The sequence below is a fragment of the Homo sapiens genome, chromosome 8, assembly GCF_000001405.40.
Source record: "Homo sapiens chromosome 8, GRCh38.p14 Primary Assembly".
In the NCBI taxonomy this organism is placed as follows: Eukaryota; Metazoa; Chordata; class Mammalia; order Primates; family Hominidae; genus Homo; species Homo sapiens.
In genome coordinates, this window is record NC_000008.11 from 11,309,836 (window position 1) to 11,337,734 (window position 27,899).

A 27,899-nucleotide genomic window follows, 5' to 3' on the forward strand; every position below is an offset into this window, starting at 1 on the left:
TGTGCCTAGAGTCTGGCATTTAATAGATAATGTTTGTTTCATAAATATGAACCAGGTAAATATACATGTCTTCTATGACACAAATTTTTAAGTACTAATGGACCCGTTTTTTTTTTCTAGTACACCCTTAAATCATGAATTTGCCAATTTTTTTCTTAAACTGTGAAATAGAATGAAAGGAAGTTTTCTTATTTTTTCTTAGAGGAGCGAACTTACCTCCTTACTTTTGAAATATCAGCGAAAGGAAACGTAATTTTGTTACACAGTAAAATGATCCTTTCTAACCTCCGGGATATCTTATTTCATACTACTTGATATGTGCGATTACATCTGGATCTCAAGTTGAGAACACCTAGTGGTAGTGATGTTGAGTATATGAAGTGATTTTAGTTCATATAGTTAATTCACTCAGTTAAAGGTTGCTAATCCTTGAGTCTTGTGGCAGAAGACTTGAACAGAGGCAGAAGGATTGGCACAAATTCTTGCAGAAGCTTAGAATGCCGTTTCTAAGAAGGGGATTCCACTGAAACAGTAGGTAGATATAAGTATTATCACCACATGGATAGATGGCACTTTTCTTTGAGACTTTAACTTGTTTTATTGATGCTTCCAAATTAGGGAAATATATACCTAATTTGTTATGGTTATAGAGAAATTCATAATAGAATGGGTTGCTGAAATCATGTGGTAAGTTAGCAACAGAGCCATCAAGGTAGAGTCCCTTGGGGTCAAGATTGCCAGGCTATCCCTGTTCTTTCTGTTTTAGGCGTTAGGTGAAGCCCATTTACCTAATAAACTGTGGGAATTAAAGACCAAGGTTCTGTGGCAGAGAAATAACAAATACATAATGATTTTGTTAATACTGAGGGTTTTTTTCTTTTTAACCTAAGTTTACCAGATTTCTCCTTACATTATGAGTACAGAGGCTTCTGTTTTTTTTATGAAACAGGAATTGTAATAAACAGTTAATCACCACATTTCTCAATTTTGCAGCTGTGACAGCATGATGATACAGATTAAGACATCCCTCAGTGCAGAATGCAGAACAGTTCTCATGATTTCCACCTTCATTTAGTTTGAGCTGGCCACCTCAAAGGCAGAGACTTCCAGACTCTTGGGAAGGTTCAGGGTTTTGGTTAATTTTGCCATGTTTGAGTCCCTTTTTCTGATATATATTGGCCTATTATTTTCACCTCCATACAAATTTGCCCTTATAATTAATTACTGAAAACATGAAAATAGAGTTTAAATGAATTGAATTCAGAATATCCCACAGATAATTAAGGTACATATGCAATATACACAGAAGCCTTAAAGTACATGCTCATCCCCTTCAGCCTAGTCATTAGGTTTTATCCTGAGAATGGGGTTAGCCTAACCATAAGTGACTTCAGGGAATCTGTTACTTTTAAATTAAGAACCCCCAAAGAATTCAACAGAAGACAAAAAGCTAAGTACATCATCTACAATGTAACAAAAATTGGCATAACCTAAATGTCCAACTATAGGATTAAGTAAATTGCAGTTCATCACTTAATAGGATATTACACACAGGCACACCTTAGAGATGTTGCAGGTTTGGTTCCAGAAAACCACAGTAAAGCAAGTCATGCAATAAAGTGAGTCACATTCATTATTAATATTTGGTTTTCTAGTGCATATAAAGTTATGTTTACACTATAATGCAGTCTGTTAATTGTGCAATAGTATTATGTCTAAAAAAACAATATACATACCTGAATTTAAAAATACTTTATTGGTATTTGAGGTTATTGGCCCTGGTAGAGGGCCTTGCCTCCCCATTGATGGCTGCTGACTGATCAGGGTGGTAGTTACTGAAGCTTTGAATGGCTGTGGCAATTTCTTAGACAAGACAGCAATGAAGATTGCCGCATCAATTGACTCTTCCTTTCATGAAAGATTTCTCTGTAGCATGTGATACCGTTTGATAGCATTTTTACCCACGGTTGAACTTGCAAAATTAGAGTCAGTTCTCTCAAACACTGCCACTGCTTTATCACCTAAGTTGATGTGGTATTCTAAATCTTTTTTTTTTTTTTTGTCATTTCAACAATATTCACAGCATCTTCACCAGGAGTAGATTCTATCTCAGGATACTACTTTTCTTGCTCATCCATAAGAAGCAACTCCTTATTTCTTCAAGTTTCATCATGAAATTGCAGCAATTCAGTCAAATCTTCAGGTTCCTAATTATTTATTTATTTAGGAGACAGGGCCTTGCTCTGTCACCCAGGCTGGAGTGTAGTGGCAGGATCACGGCGCACCGCAGCCTAGAACTCCTGGGCTCAAATGATTCTCCCACCTCAGCCTCCCAAATAGCCAGTACTACAGGTGCACACCACCACGGTCACCTAATTTTTTTTTTCAATTTTTAACAGAGATGTGGTTTCTGTTTATTGCCCGGTCTGGTCTCAAATTCCTGAGCTCAAACAATCCTCCTGCCTCAGCCTCCCAAAGTGCTGAGATTACAGGTCTGACCCACTGCACCCAGCATTTTGTTTTTTATGAGATGGGGTCTTTCCCTCTGTCACCCAAGCTGGAGTGCAGTGGCACAGCCATAGCTCATTTTAACTTCAAACTCCTGGCTTCAAGCAATCCTCCTGCCTTGGGCTCCATAGATGCTGGGGTTACAGGCATGAGTCACCATGCCCCACCTTCAGGTTCCACTTCTAATTCTAGTTCTTTTGCTATTTCTGTAACATCTGCAGTGACTTCTCCAGTAAAGCCTTATGCCCCTCAAAGTATCCATGAGATGTGGAATCAACTTCTTCCAAAATCTTTTTAATGTTGATGTTTTTACCTCCTCTCATGAATCACAGATATTTTTAATGGCATCTAGAAAGGTGAATTCTTTACAGAAAGTTTTCCATTTACTTTGTCCAGAACCATCAGAGGAATCACTAGCTAGGGTAGCTATGGCCTTAAAATAAAACTTGAAAGCTGAAATTACTCTTTGATCCATGGCCTGCAGAATAGATGTTGTTTTAGCAGGCAGAAAAACAACATTCATCTCCATGTACCTCTCCATCAGAGCTCTTAAGTGACCAGGTGCATTGTCAGTGTGCAGTGATGTTTTGAAAGGAGTCTTTTCTTCTGAGCAGTAGGTCTCAACAGTGGACTTAAACTATTCAGTAAACTATGCTGTAAACAGACATGCTGTCATGCAGGCTTCATTGTTCCATTTATAGAGCACAGGCAGAGTAGATTTAGTGTAACCCTTAAGGCCCCTAGGATTTTCAGAATTGCAAATAATCACTGGCTTCAGCTTAAAGTCACCAGCTGCATTTTTTCGCTGACAAGAGAGTTTGCTTCTTTCCTTAAACCTCATGAACCAGCCTCTGCTAGTTTCCAACTTTTCTTCTACAGCTTCCTTACTTCTCTCAGCCTTCATAGAACTTTGTAGAATGGAGGAGAGTAAAGGCCTTCCTCTGGATTAGGCTTTGGCTTAAGGAAATATTGCAGCTGGTTTGATCTTCTATCCAGACCACTCGAACTTTGTCCATGTGAGCAGTAAGGCTGTGTCACTGTATCATTTATGTGTTCGCTGGAGAAGCACTTTTAATTTCCATCAGGAACTTCTCCTTTGCATTCACAACTTGATTAACTAGTGCAGGAGGCCCAGCTTTTGGCCTGACTCAGCTTTCGACGTGCCTTCCTCACTAAGCTTAATCATTTCTAGCTTTTGATCTAAAATGAGACATGCTACTCTTCCTTTCATTTGAACACTTACAGGCCATTGTAGGGTTATTAGTTGGCTGGCCTAATGTCAATATTGTTGTGATCCCTGGAATAGAGAGTCTCCCTGAAGAGAGAGTCAAAGGAACAGCTGGTTAGTGGAGCAGTGAGAACACACACAGCATTTGTTGATTAAGTTCACTGTCTTATATGGACGTGGTTCCTGATGCCCCCAAAACTTGTAGAAGTAACATCAAAGATCACTGATCACAGATCACCATAGCAGTTGTAATAATAATGAAAAATTTTGAAATATTGTGAGCATTACTAAAATGAGACAGAGACACAAAGTAAAACATGCTGTTGGAAAATGGGTGCCAGCATACTTAATTGACGTGGGATAGCTGCAAATCTCCCATTTGTGGAAAATGCAGTATCTGTGAAGAGCAACCAAGGGAAGATCCATGAACGAGCTATGCCTGCAACTGTTATTATCCTAGTTCTGAAGATGACTTACAAACATGGAAGGATACGAGTGTAGAATAAGAGTGAGAATAGAGGAAATTGCCTCGTATTAAAGCTCTATGTAGTGTATATGTACATGGGTAAAAACTGACAGTAGTAACCAAACCCGAAGCTTTTGTGTGAAGTTGGTGGTTTTTATTTTTTCCAAAGTTTCCTTCATTGTTTCAACAGAAAGGGTAGAAGAAGGGGAGGGGAGAAGATGTAGTAAATTTAGTTTTGGTGTTTTCTTTCATTCTCTTTAGAATAATGGGGTCCCAGACACTTCTGAGTCTCATGATGCAGTGGTATCTTTACAACTGACTTTCTAGATTGACACTTTTATGTTTGTTTTTTTTCCTGTTGTCGTGTTTCTCAAAGTGTGGTCTAGGTCTCATTTTCCAGATTGAATTACAGTTTATGAAGGTGTCCTTATAGTCAGCTGATGGTGGAAAGGTAGAGTCAAAGTCAGAAAAATAATTTTAGTGTATGTCTATAGTTTTGATGAGAAGAGGCTTTAACCAACGATTAAAGCAGAAAGGGTAAATGCCTTCTGTGTTAAGAGCTGCTTTTTGGTTTTGAAAAGGGAAAGAAAAATTCAGCTAAAAGGTTCTGTGAAATTTGTTATAACTTAAAGAGGTCTTGCCATGTGAAATTTGAGATTCATTATAGTCGTATTTTTTCCCAAGAGAATCTTATCTATCGTATGCCTTAGATTTAGATTTAGATTCTGAACTCTACAAGTCAGAGCAGAATGTTGTACTCAATACACTAAATAAACTGAACTCAGTAGACTAAAATGTTGTGCTCAATAAACGCTTGTTATTAACAGAGTTCATTGACCATGTTGGACATTTCCCATTTGTACTCTTCCCTGATTTTCCTATCAGGGAAGGAGCATCAATATTGATTCACGGAACAGAAGGAACTGATTCCACACTCCAGGTGACCTCCTTGGCCCAGATCATCTTAGAGCCAAGAAGCAGGACCATTCGTGGTTTTGAGGCCCTGATTGAAAGAGAGTGGCTGCAGGTGAGAAGAGCTGTTTGATTCACAGAGGAACTGCTTATTGATGCTGTGATCCTGCTTTGTGTGGTAGCTGACATAATGTGTGAAATTTCGATTGATTAAAATTTCTAAGTTGTGTGTTTAATTTACTGCAGGACAGTTAATCTGTCTTCTCCTTGTTTCTGGATGTCTCTTTGCCTGTATTCCTCACTTGACACTTCCTTCACTTAGGAAACTCCTGTTGGCTGTGCTTTATCACATACAGGAGAAATACAAAGAATGGGAAGCATAGTGCAATCTCCCAGAAGCTGGGTCTTGACGGATCAAAGACATAAGCAGTCGGGGAAGGGGGAGTGGGGCCTGTAGTTGCAAGGAAAGCGCTTTAACCCTTTCAAAGCCTTTTGCTCGTGCTGCTCCACCCTGTGAAGCTTCCTTCAAAGATAAAACTGAATCATGTAATGTTGGATGGCTGCCAAAATAAAAGTCTCACTCATAACAGGGATTGATATCCTCCACAGAGATTACTTTTCAATATATTTCTACTGTGTAAGCTGGTAAATAATTGTATTTGAACACAAATGCTTACATATCTTGAAAGCAGACATTTTTCTGGCAAAAAGAGTATCTTGCTCCTCTGGTTACAATTCGCATTTATCATGCACTAATGCTGTTACGTACACCATGTCCACCCTGCCTGACAACTGACCTTACCTCTGTTTAAGTCAGACCATACTAAGTTTATGCTCCATATTTGATGAAAGTCTATTGAGCTATATTCCTCATGATGCATAGTAGACAAACAAATGAGTATGACTGACTGATTTTTATGTTATTTTAATGGATATCACAATTCTGTGAACCACTGTAAAATTTCTATGTCATTACCTTTGTCACATACAGTAGTAGAAGGACCCAGAGACAAAGCAGATCTGTGAAATTCCTAGCAGAGTATGATTTGTATTAAGGTCAGCATTTGGGTTCTGAACAAGACAGTCAAATGAGTCTTAAATTTACTTTGGTCAGTAGATGGCAGACTCTTGCTGTTCATTTTGGGAGAAGAGGGTAATTAATGACAGCTTTATCTCCTGTAGAAAAGTACTCATAAAGATCTTTCAACACAATAACTTTTCGTATATAATTAGAGATTTACTATCAGAGCTGACATTATAAAGGTGATCAGAGTTCCATATCTGTCTCCACTTAGGGTGAGGCTTGTTTAGTGTACAGCACAATCTACAGTGTTAGACAGAGGTGATGATTCTTCTTTGTACTGAGAGCTTATGTTCTTTGACTTTGCTCCAGGTTTTGTAGACCTAGAAAGGTTTATTTTGTAAGTTTATTATTGCTTAAGTTCATTATTCTTCCATGGGATATTCCAAGGGCAGTGCAGTTCCTGTGGTCACACCTTAGCCGCGCAGCCTCATTAAGGATTTGGAAGTGTGTCTTTTTCCTTAGTTGCTGCCGCTATTTATTTTATACCAAGAAATCATTAATCTGTACAACAGCTACCCTAATTATATGATGTTCCAGGTACTAGGAGTGTCACTGTAATTGTGTATAGTGGTGTCGGTAGAATGCTCTGTCATGTGATCTCACCAGGATATGACTGTCACGCCTCCATCTTCCCCCTAGGCTGGTCACCCATTCCAGCAGCGCTGTGCACAGTCAGCCTACTGTAACACCAAGCAGAAGTGGGAGGCTCCTGTATTTCTTCTCTTCTTGGACTGCGTGTGGCAGATCCTTCGTCAGTTTCCCTGTTCTTTTGAGTTTAATGAGAATTTCCTCATCATGCTCTTTGAGCATGCTTATGCCTCACAGTTTGGAACATTTCTGGGCAACAATGAAAGTGAAAGGTGAGTACACTGCTCACATGGGGACCTTTCCTTTTCCGTTGTTTTGGCTACTTCCTAAGTAGCCAGAATCTCCTAGGAGACGACGATTTGGATCTATATTAAAATTATTTATAAAAAGGTAGAGGCTACAGTTAATTATAATTTAAATGACCTGAAGTATATTCTTTTATGAGAGCATGTCCTAGACTTTGTTCTGTTAGGTTAAAATTAGTCCATACGTGAATTAAGGGGCAACCATTTTAAATGTTAATTTCTTAACATAGGATCATAGTATCTTACATGTGGAAAAAGCCTTAATTTATAATTCAGGTCTTCCCTCTAATTTTATTAAGAAAGTAAGATCCAGAGAAGTTACGTGACTTTTCCCAGGACATAGAGTCAGTTGGTCATCAAAAGTGTGGCCTAGAGCAGCGATCCCCAACCATTTTGGCACCAGGGACCAGTTTTGTGGATAACAACTTTTCTTTGGATTGGGTGGCAGCGGGATTGGTGATGGTTTTGGGGTGAAACTGTTCCATGTCAGATCATCAGGCATTAGATTCTCATAAGGAGAATTCTCATAAAGGCGCACCCTAGATTCCCCACATGCGCAGCTCACAGTAGGGTTTGCGCTTCTCTGAGAATCTGATGCTGATCTGACAGGAGGTGGAAATACGCGCTCATCTGCCACTCACCTCCTGCTGTGTGGCCAGTTCCTAACAGGCCACGGACCCTTACTGGTCCATGGCCTGGGGTTTGGGGATCCCTGGCCTAAATTACAGGTCTTCCTCCTCCTGCTCCAGACTTTGTTACACCTAGAAACTGTCCTCAGGCCCAGAGTGGCAAGCTCACCTTACAGCCCAGGCACCATCAAGTGTATAGGTTCATTTACAAGATTCACATCAGAATGATCTTTCAGGGAGGTTGCCTGGTAATCTCTTCAGGGTACAATCAGCAGCCTTCCTTGCCTCATTGCTGGCAGCCACCATTTTCTGAAGCATGTGTTGCTTAGCCCTGGACTGTACTCTGGCAGGGAGGGACAGGAGGGATTGGCAATTTCTATAGCCAAGGAAGTTTGGTGAATATGACATAATATCCTCCCCACTTAGAGGGGAGGATTAACTCCCCCACTTAGAAGGGAGGATTTAATGATTAACGCATAATCATTAAAGGCTTTAAGACACTCTTCAGTAAAGCAATGTATATAAGTTTAATTCAGCATTTAAGAAATGTGTTTGATGATGAATTTTTTTTGGTGTTATACCTGTTAATATCCTCAGGACTAGCTTTCAAGAAGGGATCAAAATAGATTCCCATTCTGTTTCCCAGTTGGTAGAGGCTGCCAGCAATGCTGATGGGAAGGATTCTGAAGTGGTGTCAGGCTCAGCCAGAGCAAGTTCAGTGGTTGGCCGGCCATGGGCAGGGGGCACAGGGCTGGAGGCAGTGGATGCAATAATGTCCTGTCCTTGTCATCCCTGGTTCCTGGGAACATAGCGTGGGACATGCTATCCCAGCAGTTAAAGTCCAATGCCACATAGGCTCTATGATTATGTGGATTATTTTTATTGCTAGCTCAAAAAGAATGCAGTAAGTTGCACGTAGCTCATAAATAATCATGTGGTTTCAGAGACAAAACTGATTTTATAATAAAATCTCAGCTTAAACTGAGTCTTATGAGAATTGAATGTATTATCTTTTTGGTTGATGTAAGGTTTACCACAGACTGTCTTTCAATCTGTGTTAAAATGTATTTTTTTCTAAAACATGCCGATCGACTGTTATCCTTCTCTAACAGTTTATTCACATGATAAAGAGTGTTCCAGAGTTTTAGAATTATTATGAAGCCTGTTCATTGTATGTGGATATAGATTAAATATGTATTTATGTCAAGATTCACATTGATTTTTCATCTTTGACAATCTGTATTTTATGTACATGTAAGTTATTTTCCCTAAAAGCTAAGTCTCTAAAAAATTTTAAGTTTTGTTTGAGATTTGACTCAACCTCCACTTTTAATATTAGTATGGGCGTAAGAAGGATACAGTGGACTTTGGGGACTTGGGGGAGGGACAGAAGGGGGACGAGGGATAAAAGACTACAATTAGGGTTCATTGTATACTGCTCGGATGATGGGTGCACCAGAATCTCACAAATCGCCACTACAGAACTTACTCATGTAACCAAATACCACCTGTTCCCCAATAACTTATGGAAAAATTAAAATAAAAAATTAAAAAAAAAAACAATTAGAAAGTGGTTATCAAACAATGTAAATAATGAAGACCCTGGGGGTCTTTCCAGACATTCATATTTGTAAGCTATCCTGGTTGTTTCTGCACAACAAGCCCTTTCTTAAAGAAACTAGAAAAATAAATAGGACATAAATGTCAAAAAGTGTATAATTTTTATGTTTATATTATAGGCTTCTCAGAAACAAAAAGGTTAGAAAGTTTTTTTATGCTTAGCTATTTTTAATTAAAATAGAATCCCAAATATAACAAAGGACTTTTGTGTACAGTAATGTTCTCTGGGTTAAGGTTTAACACCAAACCTGATGTGACCAGATTCTGTTTTTATCCTCCTGCCAGCTTCTTGGAAGCCTGTAAAATACTCTTTGTTTTGTTGTTGTTGAGAGTTCTAATGCCGATTGAGCTTTTTGACAAATCTATTGATTTTTCAACACTTTGTTTCTCTACCAAAAGTCTTGTATTCTATCTTCTTTCATACTGAGAAGAAATTGTCCTCGTAAGAGGAGCACTCAATAATGGTTGTTATAAATTAATTACTTTAATGGCAGTGTTCTTTCTTGATCAGATGTAAGTTGAAGCTACAGCAGAAGACGATGTCTTTGTGGTCCTGGGTTAATCAGCCCAGTGAGCTGAGTAAATTCACCAATCCCCTCTTTGAAGCCAACAACCTTGTCATCTGGCCTTCAGTTGCTCCGCAGAGTCTTCCACTGTGGGAAGGTAAACCACGCATCCTTTGCAAACTTCTTAACGGTCAGGTGTGCATGCGGCTGCCTGTGAGTGTGTGCTGTTGGTGATGTATGAAGATGGTGAGCTGGACGTGGCCCTCAGACCTGTGTGAATTGTCATTCTCAGTGTGGGCATGTTTTTCTCTTTCAAATCAGTTATCTAGCCACACTTTTTTTTTTTTTCAGTTACCATTGAGAAATTAACAGTGTTTCTTTACATTGCTGTTTATGTTGGATATTTTTCTAGATAAGAAAGTACCTTACTCTTTGCCTAAGAGAGTTGGTAAGTAGTTGGGACATGAATAAATTGTAAGCTCATCAGGGAGAGTTTCTGTCCCTTAATGAAGCAGTCATTAGGATAGGTTCTTGTATTAAATGGTATTAAAGAGTTACATGGCTGGGCATTCCAGTAAGTTTCTATAAATGGGCACAAAATACCATCAGTGCAGTAACACAGATATTTCATTGTTCTTATGGGACTATATGCTTAATTTTTAAATCTATTCTAAAGTAGATTTTTTATATGCACTGATTTTTCCAACTATTGAAGCTTATCCCCTTAAGTATGGAAGCTTATTAATTAAAACATAACCAAAATCTGGCCAGGTGTGGTGGCTCACGCCTGTAATCCCAGCACATTGGGAGGCTCAGGTGAGTGGATCACTTGAGGTCAGAAGTTCAAGACCAGGCTGGCCAACATGGTGAAACCCCATCTCTACTGAAAATACAAAAATTAAACAGGCCAATTTGGTGGTGCGGGTCTGTAGCCCCAGCTACTCAGGAGGCTGAGGCAGGAGAATCACTTGAATCTGGGAGGCAAAGGTTGCAGTGAGCAGAGATGATGCTACTGCACTTTAGCCAGGGTGACACAACGAGACTTTCTCAAAAAGATAAAAATAAAGATAAAAATAACCAAAATCTATCTGAACTATATAGTGTTTCATTAAACAAAGCCTCTAAAATACCATTTAATTTTTAAAGTTATTTTGAAGATAATAAGCACACATTTATTCATGTTTATGTTTAATAGCATAAAGTATACATACAAGAATGGTAGCTGTTTGTTAAATTAAACCGAATTACCGTTAATGCCAGTTGTTACGCCGTATTCTAGTATGTTATACTCTCAAAGGCAGTTCACGTGTGGAAAACTATTTGCCCTTTGTGGAAACGGGTCTCAGATTGCTTTGGCTTCTGAGTCTGAGACCAAATCAGTTTCTGTCTCTTCTCTGGATGTCAGCTGTCACATCTAGTTCCTCTTGGCTTATCTGCCATTAGTGGCTTCCTTCCACCTCAGTTCATGCTTCTAATCTTATCTATTGAAGTGTCCCCTAGTTAGCATTGTGGGGAAATGGTCTTAGATGGTCTTGAGGTTCTGGGTGTGAGCTTTAGTGCTTTGATTTGTGAAGGGATGGTGACTGCTCAGAACTTCTCTTTGCTTACTTTCGTGATTGTCGTCACAGTCAGTACAGGGTTCATGATCTCTTAAACGAGAGGTTACAGTATTCTTCCTGTTTAGGACTTCTGGGACAATGTACTTAAAGCCACTGTCACATTTAATAACTGAAATGAGCGTAGCTGTTTGGGAGAAAACCCACATTGGGAGCTGGGTGGCCTGAAGGATGATTTAATTGCTTTGTACCAAACCTCCTTGTGGAGCTTAGAGATAAGTGATGGGATGAAATCCTTGTTCTGTGGATTAAGTCCTGCCATGCCGGAGTTTCAGTGTGTGTTTCATGCTCCTCAACCTAGAGCTGGGAGAAGAAGAAGCTCTCTATTAGGTAAAATCCTATGGTAGGCATCTATATTGAATAAGACTGCTCTTCGGCCTTAAAATATCTCTCTGCTGTTTACATTTACATCACAGCTAACCATTAATATTTAGAAATTCCTGAATTAGAAAAATCAACATGGGTGGGTCAGGCTTTACGCTGTGGTTCTGCTTTCCCTTTCTGATACAGCCTGATGTTGGGAGCTGCATAGAAGGGCTCATTAGGACCCATGGCAGTTTGGTTTGTAGAGAGTGTTTTAATGAATCATAAAACCTTTGTGAACTTGCCATCCACTGACATGGTGCAGCCTGGAAGATTTTCGTGCCTCCTGACTTGAGTAACTGTAAGGCATTATTGTGGTGTGATACAGTTAACATAGGGCTATGGAGAGGAGAAAATATTTCCTTTTGGTTCATAATAAAAGGATAATTATTATTATTTGGGGAAAGAAGAAATTGCCTGCAGAATTGAAAGATTGCCTCTCAAGTAACAGGGAGAGAGGCATGTAAGCACGTGGGCTACAGTTCAGGCTTTCAAATAACAACATATGTGGTTCTGCTTTTACTGTAGTTGTCACTTTTCAGGTGAAAATGGCTTCACACATTTAAGGGATCTTACATGTCTGAGCAATATTCTATAATTATAAAAATAAGTGATTTATATTGTGAAATTGGAAAGTTTATGACATTGCAAATTATCATCTTGTTTTCCTGAATATATCATAAAATGGTATTTGGATCTATTTGATAATTTTGTGGGATATTTCTGAAGAATCAATGAGCATGTACATACAAGTAGTGACTTCTCAAATATTGTATTCAATTGCATCCTTTTCAGTACCTCAAGATTCCTGTATATTTTAGAGTATAATAAAATACAGATGTGAGTTGTGGCAACAAAAGAAAAAAGAATGTATAATACATAAATTACATCTTATCCACAAATGTAATTTTAATCCATTGTATATACCTTTCTTGCTTCTGTTTTCCATTCCTGGATTCAATAGGTATTTTCCTACGTTGGAATAGATCCTCTAAGTATTTGGATGAAGCATATGAAGAAATGGTTAACATCATTGAATATAATAAAGAATTACAAGCAAAAGTCAATATCCTTCGAAGGCAGTTGGCAGAACTGGAAACAGAGGACGGGATGCAGGAGAGTCCCTGAAAGGTCTCCTCGCACCCTTCGCAAGGACCTTCTTGGGCCTGTGTCCGCCGTTCTCTCCTTGTGCCCTTCAGTTCACTTTTACACGGTAGCCTTGAAGTGAAGGCTTTAGATGTGGGACCCCCCTAATGTAATGGATTTCTCAATACTGTATGAATAATGAAACTTACTATCATAAACCATGTTTCATGTGGCCTGTTAGGGCCTGTCACTTTGGGAGCCGGAAGGAGGTGCTAGTCATTTTATTTTTACGTGAAATAGATGACCTATTTAATGCCATTTGTGTTTCATGCCATTTTATCCAAAGCTTTTTCTCTGTGTCCACTCTCCAAACAGCATTCTAGAGCAGTCAAGGAGACAGCTAATCTCTCTAGGGACTATTTGGTGGTTTAAAAAAAGGGTCAGACTTTTAAACACTCTGACCATAGAAATGTTTTTCAAAATGGCAACAATGGATAAACCAAGGATTTTGTGTTTAACAATCCATTTCCAGTGTCTTCGCCACATAAAATAGCCATTTTCTTTAAAATAGTTTTGGACTAACGAAGCTGAAATCTATTCTCATTCTTGTTTGTCAAGAAAGGAAAATCTGTTATTCAAGGTAAATTATTTCTACAAGGGCAACAGGTATGGTCCTCCGATATTTACATTAAGAAGAGTTAAATTTATTTTAACGTAGACACTAAAAGTATGTGCAATATACAATTAAAGTAGGAATTTGTTACTGATTGAGAATTGTTACTGGTGAATTGGTTTTCAGGTTTTGAGCATACATATACAATGTGTTTCAAATGCTGCTTGTAAAATTAAACCATCATCTAGAATAGAGTTAATTTATTATAATCAAGCTACAAATAGGTTTTCTTAAACCAGAGATGCACTGCCCTTGTCTAAAGTTCTTATTGCACTGGTTTATATGTGTATGTGTGTTTTATTGTGTGTTTTTTTAATTTGTAAGTATTCTAAGAGTTTCCTAATACTAAGGTTAAAATTTTCATGTTGACCTGAGCCTTTTGCAAATTTGCTTTGGCTCTATTGATTTGTCCATTATGTGTTAGGCAAATATAACTTAAGTGGAGGGGGAAGTTTATGAATATAATATAGCTCTGTGTTTTAAACCTCAGAAACAGATTTGAGTGTTTCAGTATTATAGAAACAGTGATGACTATTCATGCTCTGCTAGTCTATGCCTGCAACTCCAAATGTTTGTGGTTCAGTATTTCCCACCTACATTTCTGTTTGGTGACATTGCTCATTTTAACAAATATGACCGAGTCTAGTTTTTCTTTAAAAGGATAGTTTATGAGTAATCTTTAAAACCATTTCCATACCATCTGTATATAACCATTTCGGTAGAGAACACACTACACTGAACCCTGCTTTAGAGCTGTGTGTTGAGCTAAAAATATAATTTTTTAAAAATTGACTAGCAAAATCTATGGCCACACTGAGAAGCCTTTGAAAATGGCAAATACTTTTCATCACCAATTGCCCAATTCATCTTTCTTCTGCTTCCTCAGCCTTGTAGCAAAGGCTACACAGCAGCCCACAGTCCACAGTCTTTTTGGGAAAATTGGCCTGCCACCTTCTTTAAGCTCAGTTTATTTTTGACTTACTTTCTTTGCTGTAGTTATGAACCTTGGGGCATTAAAATCCCATGGCAAGGAGCATAAGAGATGTTCTCGTAGCTCTGCGTTGTGTGAAATGTCCATCTTAGTTTTGTTAAAAAAAAAAAAAAAAAAAGGAAACAGCCTCACTTTTTTGTGCTCCCTCAGAATTGCTTGCTATGTCTGTTAATACAGCTGAGCTTTTTGTTTTCTTCTCTTTTTGTCTCAAGATTGTATATGAAGGAGGCTTTTCTTCTCAGCTAACAGGCATATAAGGAAAACCATCTAGAGAGTTTTCTTTAGAAGTGACTCCCATTAGCCTGGTGTGGTGGTGTGTGCCTATAGTCCCAGCCACTAGGAAAGCTGAGGCAGAAGGATCCCTTGAGCCTAGGAGGTTGAGGCTGCAGTGAGCTATGATCGCATCAGTCCACTCCAGCCTGAGCAACAGAGCGAGACCCTGTGTCTAAGTAAAGAAAAAGCCAGAAGTGACTCCCACTGCTTCTGTTGATCGGCCATAGGGCTTCCATGGGTGGAAACTTGTGAGGGAGTTTGTATTAGGTCTGGTCATGGAGGGATGATGTACCATCAAGGTAGACCCATCTTCCTGATGCACATTTGCTGTGCGAGCCAGAGTACAGTCATAACACGGTATTCGCATTTCGTTTTCTCTGTCTCACTGAGACAACAATCTATACTGTTTTGGCAAGTTTGCATTTTAGTATTAATTTATAATTAGGGATTGTTCAAACTTCAGATCTGTTTACAGGTTGTAAAAATAAACTTCGGTATCAGTGCATCTACAGAAGTGTTATTTGGTAATCCAAATATTAGAGTTTTCCCAAATCCAAAAACGGTCAGAAATAAGTCCATTATCAATATAATTTGAAGAAGATTTTTAGTAGTACTGTGAAGTTCGTGCTTACCTGGATGAGAAGAATAAATGACACGGATACACTCCTGAGAAGACACTCGTTAAACATTGCATCGGAGAGCTGCCTTTGATAAATGTGCTGTTAAACACTTGAATGAAGAGAATGGTGGCAGAATGAGTGAGCAAGCAGATTGCCCCAGAGGGGCCGGTAATAATCACGTGAGGGATAATCAGATTCCTGCGTATTCAGCATCTTCTCTATTCATGTGGAGTGAAAGCTGGTTTTTATACAGGAGATACGTAAAGTAGGCCCCACAAATAATATTTTTAAAATACAAAGGATCACCACAATCCTCTATTGAACATATAAGGATCCTCAGATTTAAATAAGTACTTTTTTTTTTTTTAATCAGAAGAACATTGTTGTTTGATTATATGTTTTTAAAAACCTGAAGCTTTTTTGGTGGCAGGACCTTTCAATAAATATTTATTTGGTCAAAATTTTTTATTTTGATTTTATTAAATGGGAAGAAAGCAAGCAGAAATAGTAAAATTCAGTAGGTTTAAAACAATCTATAAATGTATTTTATTTCCAAGAAAACTTAGGGTCTCAAAGCAAGATTTTAAAGTGATTTTTGAGAAGACTTGGGGGGGACAATAATAGACATTCATGTCAGATCCCATATGGGGGATTTTTAAACATTTCTTTGAACTTTGAGGCCTGATTTAGGGGTGGGATTTTATTGCTTTTTGTTTTAAAGGATGAAATTTTGTGGGGTTTTAGTCTTTGATTCAGTCAGTATTTGGTTTATGTTAAATAAAAAATCAGTATCATGGAAAAGATATGACCATAATTTAGTCTCCTCAAGTGAAAAACAGGAGTAATGTTTCGTTGCACTTTGAAAGATCTGCTTCAAGGCATAACTCGTGTAGTTGTCTGGTTTCAGGGATAGCTGTTTGAATTGTCATTCTAAAGTAGGTCATCAGGTTCACTTATTATCCGACCTTAATCTGGGATAAAGGTTTTGGTATTTGCCCACTTCTAGATAGAATGAATGAAAACAACACAAGCGTTTTATGAGCACTCTTTATCAGAAAGGTATTTCCTGGACCAGAAATGGGCAATAGTTACAATAGTTGATCCTCTGTTCTGGAAGCTTTGAAATTTATCAGAGAATGAAGTCATTCAGTACATCTGATAAAGTTTTGTTGTTGTTGTTGTTGTTGTTGTTTTAATTGGGCAACCCTCAGAACTGAAGAGGTTCAGAGAACTTTCCAGGTTTATACTATACCTCAAGACCACATAGATTAGCTACTGCTTATTCTTTCACATGGGCTAGGCCTGTTCTCCTCCTCCAGACCTAGTATTCTAAGTTATTACCACATAGTATTTTTATGTTACCCATCATCTTTAAAAACATTATAGGCTGGGCATGGTGGCTTACGCCTGTAATCCCAGCACTTTGGGAGGCCAAGGCGGGCGGATCATGAGGTCAGGAGATCGAGACCATCCTGGCTAACACGGTGAAAACCCATGTCTACTAAAAATACAAAAAATTAGCCAGGTGTGGTGGCGGGCGCCTGTAGTCCCAGCTACTCAGGAGGCTGAGGCAGGAGAATGGTGTGAACCCGGGAGGCAGAGCTTGCAGTGAGCCGAGATCGCACCACTGCACTCCAGCCTGGGCGAAAGGGCAAGACTCCATCTCAAAAAAAAAAAAAAAAAAAGACTCATTTATCCATTTACATTTATTCTCAGATGATAAAATATATACTGATACTATAACTTTCTTATGGTATCAGTTTTCTTTATTTTCTTGAATAAAATTACTTCTACCTTCATTTGGTCTTTATAATCCACTGTCCACAGCATCTTCCTTTAAACCAATAGTCCCAGAAGAGACCCTCTGAAATTCTAGGACTGGATATTAAAATGCCTGAACCTGTTATCTAAATCCTTTTTAAGAAACTTAATGTTCCAGCTCTTGAACTACACTGTGGAACAGTAATTTGTGCCCAATTTAGTGGAAGATAATGAGGCTCACTGTAAACACTACATTGTCCTGCAAAGTAATTCTGATGAGAGTTTACTGACTTCTAGAGCCATTCTCTTTAACCGTCTGCAGGTCTAAGGATTAACTATATTTGTGATTTGTAATAAAACTGAGTTGTACAACACTGCCTGTGTTTGTCTGGCCAAGACATTTGCTTCACTTTTAAAATGCACGTTATCTTTGGAGAGGTGAATTATTCTACAAAATGCACCCTAAATCTCATTGTTTAAAACCTTACTGATCTAATACCATCTACACAAAAAAATGTTGTAGTTGCAGAACTTAGTTTATAAAAACAAAGAATGTGTATTTCTTCAATAGCCGGGTATTTGGATTGTTCTCTTGATAATATTTGAATGTGACTCTTGGATTTAAGTGCACTATTATTCATGGCTTATACAATAAAATTGCACTGTATGGCAAATATGTCTATAATGTATGCTTTGCTGAAACCTCAAGAGTGCTGTAAGGTACAGGTTTCCATATTGTGAACCTGTGTACGCACACACACATATACATACAGTCTTAGGGAAAAAAAAAAGCAGAACTTTTGTAAGTCTGTGTAACATTTTAATATTGTTTGTAATATTCACTAGGTGATAATTTCCCCTGTACCCTATAACTGTAATCATTCACCTTGGGTTGGCCGGTTTGTCAAGCTTGGTTTACTGAATCAAGAAAGAGTCTTGTCGAATGTGGTACTGTTCTTAGTGTGTAATATTTGCGTATGGTGTTCCTCTGCCTCAGAGGACAGTTGCACAGATGGCTAGTGTTAAATTTCTATAGACGATGGTAATAAAATCTGAATATATTTAAGTGCTAATAAATTAAATCTGTGGGCTTATTTGAATTTTTTTTTCAAATATTGGTGAAGGTTTGGATGGTGTTTCAATTAAATCTATATATTTTTTACCTTACATTTTGAAAAAATTGAGATCTGCAAAAAGGCTGCAAAATAGTACACTGATCTCCCTAGATTGTTCCTATATTGAATGATTGGTAAAATTTTCCATATTTGCTTTAATACCACGTGTGTGTGTGTGTGTGTGTGTGTGTGTTTGTTACACTGTTATTTTGCTGAAACATCCGAGTTAGCTGCAGACATTGTGACCCTGTCTTCTAAATACTTCACAGGAATCTCCCAAGAATTAGGAATATGTATTCTACATATTATTGATTTAGTATGTATTAATATAAACACATGACTCATTGAGGGTAAAAGGAAAGCTCTTTCTTAGAGTAGAATGCCAGCTATTAAATGTAGAAAGAAAATGGAATTAAAAAGCCACTATTTGGCATATTATTACAGTAATCATTGACTTAGGCAATGCCTAACAGTGAATGGCAAAACTAGCAGGTGAAAATTTGTGAAGAACAGAATATAATCTCCAAATAGCCTTCCACAAAATAGTTACTAGTTACAAAGGAGAAAATACTAACTTTATAGTGAAAGGAACTGGTAGATATCACCTTATTTCAGGAAAAGTTAACATCATTAGTAATGGGACATATCAACATCATGTGCCTTCTGATATGATCCATCCAGAAACAGCACCACTGTTGGAGGGAAAAAGCAGTCTTAGGAGTTTTATAGTTTAAAATCTTACATTTAGATCTTAATCCATTCTGTATTAATTTTTGTATACCGTGTAAGGTAAGGGCCCAATTTCATTATTTGCATATGGATATTCAGTTTTTCCCAACACTTTGTTGAAGAGACTGTCCTTTTCCCATTGTGTGGTCTTGGTATCTTTGTTGAAGATTATTTGACCATATGCATATTCATTTCTGTGCACTCTATTGTGTTCCATTGGTGTATATGTCTGTGTTAATCACTGGAAGGCTGAGGCAGGAGGATCACATAGGGCCAGGAGTTCGAGACCAGCATGGGAAACATAACAAGATCCTGTCTTTACAAAAAATAAAAAAATTAGCCAGGCATGATGGTGCTCATCTGCAGTCCTTGCTACTCAGAAGCTGGAGTGGGAAGATCACTTGAGCCCAGGAGTTCCCTCTCCCTCTCTTTCCATGGTCTCCCTCTGATGCCGAGCCAAAGCTGGACTGTACTGCTGCCATCTCGGCTCACTGCAACCTCCCTGCCTGATTCTCCTGCCTCAGCCTGCCGAGTGCCTGCCATTGCAGGCTCGCGCCGCCACGCCTGACTGGTTTTCGTATTTTTTTGGTGGAGACAGGGTTTCGCTGTGTTGGCCGGGCTGGTATCCAGCTCCTAACCGCGAGTGATCCGCCAGCCTCGGCCTCCTGAGGTGCCGGGATTGTAGACGGAGTCTGGTTCACTCAGTGCTCAATGTTGCCCAGGCTGGAGTGCAGTGGCGTGATCTCGGCTCGCTACAACCTCCACCTCCCAGCCGCCTGCCTTGGCCTCCCAAAGTGCTGAGATTGCAGCCTCTGCCCGGCCGCCACCCCGTCTGGGAAGGGAGGAGCGTCTCCGCCTGGCCACCCATCGTCTGGGATGTGAGGAGCCCCTCTGCCCGGCTGCCCAGTCTGGGAAGTGAGGAGCGCCTCTTCCTGGCCGCCATCCCGTCTAGGAAGTGAGGAGCGTCTCTGCCCAGCTGCCCATCATCTGAGATGTGGGGAGCGCCTCTGCCCGGCTGCGACCCCGTCTGGGAGGTGAGAAGCGTCTCTGCCCGGCCGCCCTGTCTGAGAAGTGAGGAGCCCCTCCGCCTGGCAGCTGCCCCGTCTGGGAAGTGAGGAGCACCCCGCCCGGCAGCCGCCCCGTCTGGGAAGTGAGGAGCGTCTCCGCCTGGCAGCCGCCCCATCCGGGAGGGAGGTGGGAGGTCAGCCCCCGCCCGGCCAGCAGCCCCGTCCGGGAGGGAGGTCGGGGATCAGCCCCCGCCCGGCCAGCCGCCCCGTCCGGGAGGGAGGTGGGGGGTCAGCCGCGGCCTGGCCAGCCGCCCCGTCCGGGAGGGAGGTGGAGGGTCAGCCCCCCACCGGCCAGCCGCCCTGTCCGGGAGGGAGGTGGGGGGTCAGCCCCCACCCGGCCAGCTGCCCCGTCTGGGAGGGAGGTGGGGGGCGCCTCTGCCCGGCTGCCCCTTCTGGGAAGTGAGGAGCCCCTCTGCCCGGCCACCACCCCGTCTGGGAGGTGTACCCAACAGCTCATTGAGAACGGGCCATGATGACGATGGCGGTTTTGTGGAATAGAAAAGGGGGAAAGGTGGGGAAAAGATAGAGAAATCAGATTGTTGCTGTGTCTGTGTAGAAAGAAGTAGACATGGGAGACTTCATTTTGTTCTGTACTGGGAGGGGTTCTTCTGCCTTGGGATACTGTTGATCTGTGACCTTGACCCCAGCCCTGTGCTCTCTGGGGCATGTGCTGTGTCCACTCAGGGTTAAATGGATTAAGGGCGGTGCAAGATGTGCTTTGTTAAACAGATACTTGAAGACAGCATGCTCGTTAAGAGTCATCACCACTCCCTAATCTCAAGTACCCAGGGACACAAACACTGCGGAAGGCCGCAGGGTCCTCTGCCTAGGAAAACCAGAGACCTTTGTTCACTTGTTTATCTGCTGACCTTCCCTCCACTATTGTCCTATGACCCTGCCAAATCCCCCTCTGCGAGAAACACCCAAGAATGATCAATTAAAAAAAAAAAAAAGAAAGAAAGAAAGAAAGAAAAGAAGCAGAGTTGGACTCAGCGGGAAAATAGGCGTGCTACCACCTCAGGAGAGTTCCAGGGAAGAACCCCACCCGCACTCCAATGAGGTCACAATGGCTGGAGCTCTGAGGGGCCCAGGCTCCCTGAGCCAGGAGGAGAGGAGAAAGTCCAAGGAAAGATGGCTGGCAGTCACCCCTACTTCAACCTGCCTGACTCCACACACCCATCGCCGCCCTCCGCTCCACCCAGCCTCCGCTGGCACCAGCGCTGCCAGCCCTCTGGTGCCACCAATGGCCTGCTGGTGGCCCTGCTGGGTGGGGGCCTGCCTGCTGGCTTCGTGGGCCCCCTTTCTCGTATGGCTTACCAGGGTTCCAACCTGCCCTCGCTGGAGCTGCTCATCTGTCGATGCCTCTTCCACCTCCCTATTGCCCTGCTACTTAAACTGCGTGGCGACCCCCTTCTGGGACCTCCTGACATCCGAGGCTGGGCCTGCTTCTGTGCCCTGCTCAACGTCCTCAGCATTGGATGTGCCTACAGTGCAGTTCAGGTGGTGCCCGCTGGCAACGCTGCCACTGTTCGCAAAGGTTCTTCCACCGTATGCTCCGCTGTCCTCACCCTCTGCCTTGAGAGCCAGGGTCTCGGTGGCTACGAGTGGTGTGGACTGTTGGGCAGCATCCTAGGACTAATCATCATTCTGGGACCTGGACTCTGGACACTACAGGAGGGGACCACAGGTGTCTACACCACCCTGGGCTATGTGCAGGCTTTCCTGGGAGGCCTGGCGCTGTCCCTGGGGCTTCTGGTCTATCGTTCTCTGCACTTTCCCTCCTGCCTCCCAACAGTGGCCTTCCTATCTGGCTTGGTGGGGCTGCTGGGCTGTGTGCCAGGCCTCTTTGTGCTGCAGACCCCCGTGTTGCCCAGTGACCTCCTGAGTTGGAGTTGTGTGGGGGCAGAGGGGATCCTCGCCTTGGTCTCCTTCACATGTGTGGGCTATGCGGTCACCAAGGCCCACCCTGCCCTGGTGTGCGCTGTCCTGCATTCCGAGGTGGTTGTGGCCCTTATACTGCAGTATTATATGCTCCATGAGACTGTGGCACTTTCTGACATCATGGGGGCAGGGGTTGTGCTGGGCAGCATTGCCATCATTACAGCCCGGAACCTCAGCTGTGAGAGGACAGGGAAGGTGGAGGAGTGAGATAGAACTTGGGAGCCCGGGGGTTGGGAGGGACAGGGATAAATAAAGACAAAGACTGAAGACAAAAAAAAAATAAAAGAAAAAAAATAATTATAATAAATCCTAGGAAAGAGTGAAAGTCTAACTTCCATAGCACATTATAATATTGAGATGTTCAGTTATAATAAAAATATCACAAAGCATGCAAACAAATGAGAAATCTGGCTTATTTACAGGAATAAAATTAATTGAACTATCCTTAAGGAATCCCAGACTTTGGACTTACTAGACAAAGACTAAACAATTGTCTTAAATATGCACAAGAGTTAAAAGACAACTAAATGAAATCAGAGAAATGATGTTTGAACAAAATGAGAATATCAATAAAAATATAAAAATTATAGAAAGGAACCAGGTAGAAATTTTGTAGCTGAAACGTGCGACAACTGAGATGAGAAATTCACTAGAAGGGTTCGATAGAGTTTGTTTGTTTTTTGTTTTTTGCTTTTTTTTTTCTGAGACAGAATCTTGCTCTGTCACACAGGCTGGAGTGCAGTGGCATGATCTCAGCTCACTGTAACATCCGCCTTCTGGGTTCAAGCAATTCTCCTACATCAGCCTCCCAAGTAGCTGAGATTACAGGTGCATGCCACCACACGCAGCTAATTTTTGTATTTTTAGTAGAGATGAGGTTTCACTATGTTGGCCAGGCTGGTCTCAAACTCCTGACCTTGTGATCCACCCGCCTTGGCCTCCCAAAATGCTGGGATTGCAGGCATTAGCCACCACGCCCAGCCTTCCGTAGAGTTTTTGATCAGGCAGAAGAAAGGATCAGCAAATTTGAAGATAGGATTATTGAAATTATCCACTCTGAGGAGCATAAAGAAAAAGAATAAAAATAGTGAATAGACTTCAAGACTTGTAGGATACCATCAAGTGGACCAACATATGGTTTATGAGAGTCCTAGAAAAAAGCAAAAAAGTGTTTTAAAAATGAGGGCTGAAAACATCCCAGATTTGATGAAAGACATAAGTGTACAAATCCAAGAAGCCTCTACAACAACCTCTAATACCATAAACTCAAAGAGATTCATACCAAGACACAGTATATGAAAACTATCAAAAATCACAAAGAATCTTGAAAGTAGCAAGAGAATCAACTCATCACATTACAAGGGATCCTAAATGAGATTATCAACTAATTTTTAATTAGAATTAATGGAGGCCAGAAGACAATGGGATGATATAGTTTAAATGTTGAAAGAAAATAACCTGTCAACTGAGAATTATATATCCAGCAAAACTGTCCTTCAAAAAATAAGGGAGAAATTAAGACATGCCTAGATTTTTAAAAAGCTTAGGGATCTTGTTACTGCGAGATATGCCTGACAAGAAATGCTAAAGGGGGTCCTTCAGTGAGATGAAAGAACACTAGACAGTAACTTGAACCCATATGAAGAAAGAAGTATCTCCACGACAGATAAATTCTAGGGCAAATATAAAAACCAGTATTATTATAACTTTAGTTTATAACATCAGTTTTTATTTTCCATAGGAATTAAAAGACAAAAACATAAAAAAGCAATTATAAATCTATGTTAGGGAGCTTGTTACCAGTAGATTTGCCATACAAGAAATGCTAAAGGGAGTCCTTGAAGGTGAAATGAAAGGATGGTAGACAGTAACTCAAACCTGAGTGAAGAAATAAATATTTCTGGTTGCTATGGTTTGAATGTCCCCTCTAAAATGCATGTTGAAATTTAATTGCCATTGTGATGGTATTAAGAGGTGGAACCTTTAAGAGATGATTAGGTCATAAGGGCTCTGCCCTCATATATGGATTAATGCCATTATCATGGGAGTGAGTTAGTTATCATGGAAGTGGGTTCCTGATAAAAAAGATTCTGAAATTCAGCCCCGGTCCTTTTCTGTCTCACACACTGTCTTGTCCTTCCACCTTTTGCCATGGGATGAGGCAGCACAAAGGCCCTCACCAGATGCTGGCACCATGCTCTTGGACTTCCCAGCTTCCAGAGCCTTGAGCCAGATAAACTTGTATATAAATTATCCAGTTTGTAGTATTCTGTTATAGTAGCAGAAAAATGGACTAAGACACTGGTAAAGTAAATACAATGGCAAACATAAAAAAACAGTATTAATGTAATTTTGGCTTGTAACTCCACTTTTTATTTTCTAAGGAATCAAAAGACAGGCATAAAAATAAATGTTATTGAGCACTCAATGTATAAAGATTTGGGACATCAATAACAAAGGGCGTGGGACAGAGCTGTATAGGCATACGTTTTTCTATACTATTAAAGTTAACTTGGAATAAGTTTAGATTAGACTGTTTAAACTTTAGGTTGTTATGTGTAATGCTTATGGTAACCACAAGGAAAATATCTATGGAAAACACAAGAAGAAATGAGAAGGGAATCAAAAGATATCACTACCAAAAATAAATAAACTAAGCACAAAAGACAGTCATTATGGGGAAAATGGGGGGCAAGAAAGTAACAAAACATACAGAAAAGAAGTAACAAAACAGCAGAAGTCCTTATCAGTGATTACATTAAATGTAATCACTTTTCAATCAGAAGGCAGACAATGACGGAATGGAAAAAAGAATGATGTCCCATGTATGCAAGGCTGATTTAAATGTTAAATGTTAAATCAGCCTTCAGTTCAGCCAGTCAGTTAATGTAATCCATAACATCAACAGACTAAAGAAGAAAAACCACATGGTCATATCAGTAAATGCAGAAAAAGCTTTTCACAAAATCCAAAACTTTATGCTAAAACTCTTAGTAAACTAGGAATAGAGTGGAACTTCCTCAATTTGACAAAGAACATCTTAAAAAAATTCTGCAGCTAACATACTTAATGTTGAGAAGCTTGCCTGCTGATATCAGGAACAAGACAAGCATGTGCACTCTCACGACTCCTTTCAACATTGTATGGGAAATTATAACTAATGCAATGAGACAGAAACAGAAAAAGTATACAGATTGGGAAGGAAGAAACAGAACTCTTTGTTCACAGATGATATGATTTTCTATGTAGAAAGTCTAAAATAAGCAACCATAATCTCCTAGAACTAATAAACAGTTATAGCAAGGTTGCAGGGTGCATGGTTAATTTACAAAATTCAATTGCTTTCCTATCTGTCAGCAATGAACAAATGAAATTTGACATTTAAAAATATCATTTACATTAGCAGCTCCCCAAAATTAAGTACTTAGATATAAATCTAACAAAATATATACAAAATCTACATGAAGAAAGCTACGAAGTTCTGATGAAGGAAATCAGAGATGAACTAAATAAATATAGAGATATTCTATGTTCATGGATGGGAAGAATCAATATTGTCAAGATATCAGTGCTTCCCATCTTGATCTAGATTCCATGCAATCTCAATCAAAATGTTATTTTGTGGATAGTGACAAACTTCTTCTGAAGTTTATGAAAAGCAAAACCCATAATAGCCAACACAATATTGAAGGAGAAGAACAAAGTTGAGGACTGACAATACTCAACTTCAAGATTTATTATAAAGCCACGTTAATCAAGACCGTATTTCTTGCCTAGCTTCTGGTACTTTGCTGGCAGTCTGTGGCATTAATTGGCCTGTAGTAGCATTACCTTGATCTCTGCCTTCATCTATACATGGCATACTCCCTGTGTGCATGTCTCTGTGTTCAAATTTCCCCTTTTATTTTCTAGTCTTACTGGATTATATCGCACCCTAATGACCTCATCTCAACTAATTACATCTGCAATAACCCTATTTCCAAATAAGGTTATGTTCTGGGAGTTAGGACTTCAACACGTGAAGTTGGGGGGAGGACACAATTAAACTCACAAGAAATAACATGGTAGTGAATAACATTCTATCCTCAGGTAGCAGAAGTATTACAGACAAGGAATGCATAGCTGCATACAGAATATATACATTTTGGTGAGGACAAATCACTCCTTCATGATAAAAGAGGTACAATGTAATCAACCTTCTACCAGGTGGCTGGCTGCTTCCAACCCTCAGAAAAGAGTGCCATATCAAGAGCTCAGCATTAGATTCTGGTGTTGATAGGTTGGGTAGTCAGCAGTGGCAGTAGCCAGATTGGTCTTGCCCAGAGGAAGTCCATGTTGCTGAGTCTATGCATAGCCTCCATCCCTACCACATGACTACTTTGTATTTGGTTCCATTTACCAGGACCTGGGGTGGCTGGAGAAAGAGGCTGACTGATCCTTTGGCTCTATGACCCATAGGCTGTGTCAACGTGTCCACCTGATTATTGAAAACCTCCTCTGTATTAGATTCCCTTTGGTGAACATTCACACCGAAATATAAAATCTTCACACTCTATGCCCAGTCTGAAAGGTGTATTTAAAATACTTCTTTAGTCTTCCTTGTCATTAATCTTCCAATCTTGTTCTTTACAATTTCCTGGGCAGCCAGCCAAACCATTATTCACTGTCCATGAATTGATGTAGATAAGTACTTTTTTGGCCATCTCCAATGCCAGGAAAGTAAGCAAATATACCCTTAAAGTTATTTGGAATATTTCTGCTCGACAGGTCCAATATTTTTCTTCCTCTGTGTGCCGGTCATAAGGAAATCTTCAGGACGCCAGTGATGCCAGCTAAACGAGAGCAGGCAATGCAGCAGAAGTAAGTGTGAAAGGGATCGGAATCACCTGCACATACAACATTCTAGTGCATTCTGGACTTGCTCAAGCACCATCCACTATACCATTTCCACTTGGGATGGATTGCTATTGTATGCATCCAACTGTTTAGCTTGGAAAGTCAGATAACTCCCAGTTCATAATGAGTACCTCAGGTTGCCGGAGTTCTTGATGACTCATGGTCTAATAGCAAGCCAGAAGCTGTTTTTCAAAGAAAAAATGGTAATCTGCAGAAGGGGGCGTTGTTTTGCTGCAAAATCTTAGAGTTCTGGACTGTTATCTACTGGGACTTGTCAGAGGCTACATACAGCATTCTTACTTGCCACAGACACCAAATATCACTAGATCGCTGAGTAGCAATGCAGCTTGCACTGCATTCTAGACTTGTTGCCTAGGCTTCTCTTGCTCTCGTAGCCACTCAGAACCAGCAGACTGTTGGGTTACTTTATAGTAACTTAAGTAGCTCTAAGAAGTATACTCAAATGTGACATATGTTGCCTCCAAAATCCAAAAAGGGTCATGATGCATCACTGCACTTGGTTTTTAGTAATAGGTGGTACAAGGTGCAGCAACTTCTCTTTCACCTTGGATATCTTAACGTTCTCCAGACCATCACTCACCAATAATTTCATCAAATTGGCAGGGCCCTGAATTTTTGTGGGGTTTTTCCTCTACCCTCTGCCTTGCATTTGTCTTCCTCAGACATCTCAGGTACTTGTCACTTCCTGTTCATCAGATCCAATCAGCTTCATGTATTCAATGAAGTGGTCCGGTGTGATAGTCTAAGAATGTCAAAACAATTGAGATTTCTGCATTCTATATATGGCAGAGGCCAGTAGTGTTGACATAGCCCTGGGGCAAAACTGTGAAAGTAGACTCGGTCCTGCTAGGGAAAAGCAAACTATTTCTCATGATCCTTGAGAAAATAAATTTTTAACACA

General features: G+C 40.3%; 2 protein-coding genes and 1 long non-coding RNA gene across 6 annotated transcripts in view; 2 read left to right on the plus strand and 1 right to left on the minus strand.

Annotated features, from left to right (window-relative positions):
- Positions 1-27,899, plus strand: part of MTMR9 (myotubularin related protein 9) — a 54,711-nt gene that overhangs the window by 25,020 nt on the left and 1,792 nt on the right. For 2 of the 4 annotated variants that reach the window (NM_015458.4, XM_011543831.3), the window contains 4 exons: positions 5,088-5,229; positions 6,838-7,058; positions 9,852-10,003; positions 12,790-18,311. In NM_015458.4, coding sequence (NP_056273.2) covers positions 5,088-5,229; positions 6,838-7,058; positions 9,852-10,003; positions 12,790-12,953 — 679 coding nt within the window. In that variant the 3' untranslated portion in view covers positions 12,954-18,311. Of the gene's footprint in view, positions 1-5,029; positions 5,055-5,087; positions 5,230-6,837; positions 7,059-9,851; positions 10,004-12,789; positions 18,312-26,848; positions 26,942-27,899 lie in introns of those variants that run through there. The other 2 variants (XM_047422125.1, XM_017013753.3) reach the window with 2 other exon arrangements.
- Positions 6,024-15,593, minus strand: MTMR9-AS1 (MTMR9 antisense RNA 1). The gene is made up of 2 exons (NR_189628.1): positions 15,481-15,593; positions 6,024-11,765 (listed from the first exon to the last, which is right to left on the minus strand). It is a non-coding gene; the product is annotated as an MTMR9 antisense RNA 1 (long non-coding RNA).
- Positions 21,177-22,525, plus strand: SLC35G5 (solute carrier family 35 member G5). The gene has a single exon (NM_054028.2). The coding sequence runs from the start codon at positions 21,272-21,274 to the stop codon at positions 22,286-22,288; it is 1,017 nt and encodes a 338-aa protein (NP_473369.1). The 5' UTR covers positions 21,177-21,271; the 3' UTR covers positions 22,289-22,525.

Excerpts from the sequence above, each read along its gene's own strand:
- SLC35G5 (NM_054028.2), top strand. The coding sequence starts at position 21,272 with ATGGCTGGCAGTCACCCCTACTTCAACCTGCCTGACTCCACACACCCA.